Genomic DNA, 4,099 nt, shown 5'->3' on the forward strand with positions numbered 1-4,099 from the left:
AAGTTAGTTAAAAATACCTTTTTATTATGACTTTAATTACTCTGGAATCTAATGTGATATCCCTTTTTCATTAATTATATGAGAAATTTGTTCTTTCTTTTGATTGTTGCCTAGTGTTAACAGAGTTTTTTTTTTTTAATTTTTAAAGATACAGTTGTAGCTAATATGGTCTTCTCTATTAGACAATTGATTTCAACTTTATTAGTTTCTTCTTTTTTATAGTATTCTAATTTTTTTGTTTATAATTTGTCAGTTGGTTACTAATGTATTGAGATGCACATTTGTAATAATGATTTTCAGCATTCTTTTCTAATATATTCCTTTAATGCTGTAAACTTCACTGTGAAATTAGCTTTAGCTATATCTTATAAGCTTTGATATATATTTAATGTTATTCATTTTAATCCGTTTTCTAATTTCCAGTGTTGTCTTTTAATATTAGTTTTTTAAATATATTTATTAGTTTTTAACTTAATTCCACATTACCTCTTTAATGAAGAACCCCCCTGGTGATGGGGGAAGATGGCTTACTAGATGCAGCCAGGTGGAACAGCTGCCACCAAGAGGCAGAGATGACTAGCACACTCCGAGCAGGCCTTCAGAGAGAAGGCATTGAGAGTGGATGGAGGGAAGACACAGAGATAGGCTGATGGGGAGGAATCCGGGAACACTACATAGGGTTATCTTGAAACAGGATTTGTTCCTGGTCCCCAGTGACTCCAGGGGAACAGGTGAGTTGCACTGATAAGAAATAACCTGCTCTCAACACAGGTCCCTGGAATCCTGGCAGAAGGATACCCCTTGACTATCATGGGCACTCTAGTTGGCAAGCAGAGTTGCTTAGAGAAGTGGTAGGGACAGAAGGCAGCTGATGTGTAGCCCAGAAGGTTTGCTGTGAGAACACCTGTAGTGGAACATGGCCAGGGACGCCCTACCCCATAGGGTTCACTTGCTCCCGTAATATTTTAGCCCTAGGGGAATTGTGGGACCTGAACTCAGCAGGGTGGTTTGACCCATCCAGAGCACCCGTTGGTCTACTGGCTTCTCTCAGGACCCCAGCCTAGCCACGCCTTCTTACAGGGTAGCCTCAGATGCCCTGGGGGCATGCATGACAGCTTCTGTGCTGGTAGACTATGCTTGACTGGCAGAAAGCTCCAGCAGGGTAGCCCCCACTGCCACGCACCAGCCTACCCACTCCCTCCCCACACTGAAGCTTTCCCTGGGCCCATGGCAAAGCCCCACATTGCTTTACTGGTGCATGAATGCACAGGTGAGGTTTGCCTTCCTTGTCCTGCCAGCGCACATGTGTGTGTGTGCACTCTGACCTGCCACTACTGTGATGGGAATGCACTCACCCATTCTCCTCCAACCAGACCACTATTGCAGTCAGAGCCTTGGTGGGCACAGAGCCAGTCAGCCCTGCACCCACCAGTACCCCACCCTTGTGCCAACACTGCTGCAAGAGTGAAACTGGGCACAAAGGGCAGCCAACCCTCCCCTCTCCTGAGCGACCACGCCTACCTGTGGCAAAAAGAGAAAACACACAGAAGCGTGCTTCCCACTGTCCTACCCCTGTAGTAACACCACAACCAGTGTGACTGCATGAGCTGTTGCCAGCAGGTGACCTCTGCCCTGCTAAGCTATGCTGCCTCCACCACTGTAGAAAATGCCCTCATGGAGGCAGGCACTCTGGTACCTGCTAACACCCTGCTGCACCTGGCTAACATGCACCCCACTGCAAGTTTCTAATGATTTGCTTTAGTGAGTCATACAAAATAATTTCATCCTTTTTTCCATAGCCAATAATTATATATCATGTTTTAATATACTAAAACCTGGAAGTCACCTCTGGGTTGACCATTTAAGTTTGATAGAGAAAGCCATTCTTGTATATTTCCATGAGTACTCAGACTTATCACTCAGAAAAACATTTTGGAGATGTCAGTAAAACTGATACTTGTTGATTGGGCACCCATAATTCCTCCTTATACATTCCCAAAAAGTATATGTTTTAGCAGAAGTTAGAGACAGATCATTACACATTTGATTCTCTTTCATTTATGCAGTATACAAGGCAAGACATTTAAACATATACACATTTACTTTTGCAAATATTAATTTACTGAGGAACTGAGCAAATGGTAGAAAGTATTGTTACCTAGAGCAAAATGTCTTGAAGATCACCATGACCAATTCTTTCAAAGCACCACATTTAATTACAAATCATAAACAGTGATAAAATATGACCACTTTTACATAGATAATATATTATAATTTTAAAACTTTTTATTATATGCCACTCTAGAAACTTAGTTCCCTAAGCTCTCCTCTCCAAAAACATTCAGTGAATCTTTCAAGTCAAATCAACCATCTTTGCAGGGACATGGATGAAGCTGGAAACCATCATTCTCAGCAAACTAAGACAAGAACAGAAAACTAAACACCGCATGTTCTCACTCCTAAGTGGGAGCTGAACAATGAGAACGCATGGACACAGGGAGGGGAATATCACACACCGGGGCCTGTTGGTGGGTGGGGGTCTGGGGGAGGGATATAGCATTAGGAGAAATACCTAATGCAGGTGACAGGTTGATGGGTGCAGCAAACCACCATGGCACATGTATACCTATGTAACAAAACTGCACGTTTTGCACTAGTACCTTAGCACTTAAAATAAAATTTAAAAAAAATTAAAAAAGAAAGAAAATAAATAAAAAGTAAGACTGAGTGTTTTAGTTATCACCTTTGAAATTAGTTTGTTTTCAATACTAGTGATAAAAACTTGAGGGCAAATCTGATTGTGAAAATATTAGGAAAAGCACTAAAATATCTTTAGGCAACTTAACAACTGTTTGAAATGTTAATGACAACCCCTTCTGTTACCTTGGAATTCATTCTTACTTAATTCCACATCCAGATATATAAAGCAACCATCTGTGAGCACAGAAATATCGAACTAGAATGATGTAAACTGTGAAAATAGCATTATTCTCTATTCTTTGCTTTAATTTTTTTGTAGATGTTGGGGAAAAAGTGCAATCTTACCTATTTCTATAAAAATAGCATGTTAACATGTTAGTAGACTACACATTAACACTGATGATAGAATTCTTTCTATTTCTACACTATCTTTCTGTAAAAATCTCAAAAAACACTGATACCTTAGGGGTTGCTGATATTTTTGTGAGGTGACTATGTGATGCCTATTTATCTTAAACTTTGATATTGATTCATAATGTTTTATGTCTCTGAAGACCTTGAGTGATACTGACAAGTTTATGAATAAGGAAGTGAATAATGCAGCTTGCTTTTATTAGCTAATTGGGGAATTCTTAATCAACATTATTACTTGTATTAGTACAAACATTACTCACTTGAAATACATTCTAAATAAATTTGAAACATTATTAAATTTATCTTAACATTCCATTTCTTACTGATATTTTAGAGTTTTTGGCATTGACCAACACCTTCAATATCTTATTAAGAGGCAGAGGAGGTGATATCACAAGTTTCGAGTTGGACCAATGTGGTCTTGAATCTCATTCTAAAAATACTTGATTTAGATCCAATTGTCATTTTGTCCAAAGTAATTTTTGGATCTTGATATGGTTGGGATCTGTGTCTCCACTCAAATCTCAGGCTGAAATATAATCCCCAGTGTTGGAGGTGGGGCCTGGTGGGAGGTGGTTGGATCATAGGGACAGAGTTGTCATAAATGGTTTAGCATCATCCCTCCTTGGTACTGTATAGTGAATTCTCAAAAGAGCTAGTTGTTTAAAACTGTGTAGCACCTCTCCCCTGTCTTTCTTCCTCCTGCTCCGGCCATGTAAGACATGCCTGTTTCTCTTTCACCTTCCACCATGATTGTAAGTTTCCTGAGGACTCCCCAGAGACAGAAGCTGTTATACTTCTTGTACAGGCTGCAGAACCATCAGCCAATTAAACCTGTTTTCCTTATAAATTATCCAGTCTCAGGTATTTCTTTGTAGCAATGCAAGAACGGACTAATACAGACCTTTAGTTAAGGTTCTCCAGTTTTCTCTAACTCTGGTTATCACTCTGTCTCTGTATCTCACTCTGTCTCTCTTTCTTTTTC

The 4,099-nt window shown here is 39.6% G+C and overlaps 2 annotated features.

Moving 5' to 3' along the window:
• Positions 751-1,294: an enhancer, noted in NCBI's record as "H3K27ac-H3K4me1 hESC enhancer chr14:42847859-42848402 (GRCh37/hg19 assembly coordinates)". NCBI's record gives its function as "activates a minimal SCP1, AML or CMV promoter by ChIP-STARR-seq in naive H9 embryonic stem cells {active_cell/tissue: H9 hESC(naive)}" and the evidence as "EXISTENCE:reporter gene assay evidence [ECO:0000049][PMID:30033119]".
• Positions 1,295-1,838: an enhancer, noted in NCBI's record as "H3K27ac-H3K4me1 hESC enhancer chr14:42848403-42848946 (GRCh37/hg19 assembly coordinates)". NCBI's record gives its function as "activates a minimal SCP1, AML or CMV promoter by ChIP-STARR-seq in naive H9 embryonic stem cells {active_cell/tissue: H9 hESC(naive)}" and the evidence as "EXISTENCE:reporter gene assay evidence [ECO:0000049][PMID:30033119]".

Source organism: Homo sapiens, chromosome 14, assembly GCF_000001405.40.
Source record: "Homo sapiens chromosome 14, GRCh38.p14 Primary Assembly".
Classification (NCBI taxonomy): domain Eukaryota; kingdom Metazoa; phylum Chordata; class Mammalia; order Primates; family Hominidae; genus Homo; species Homo sapiens.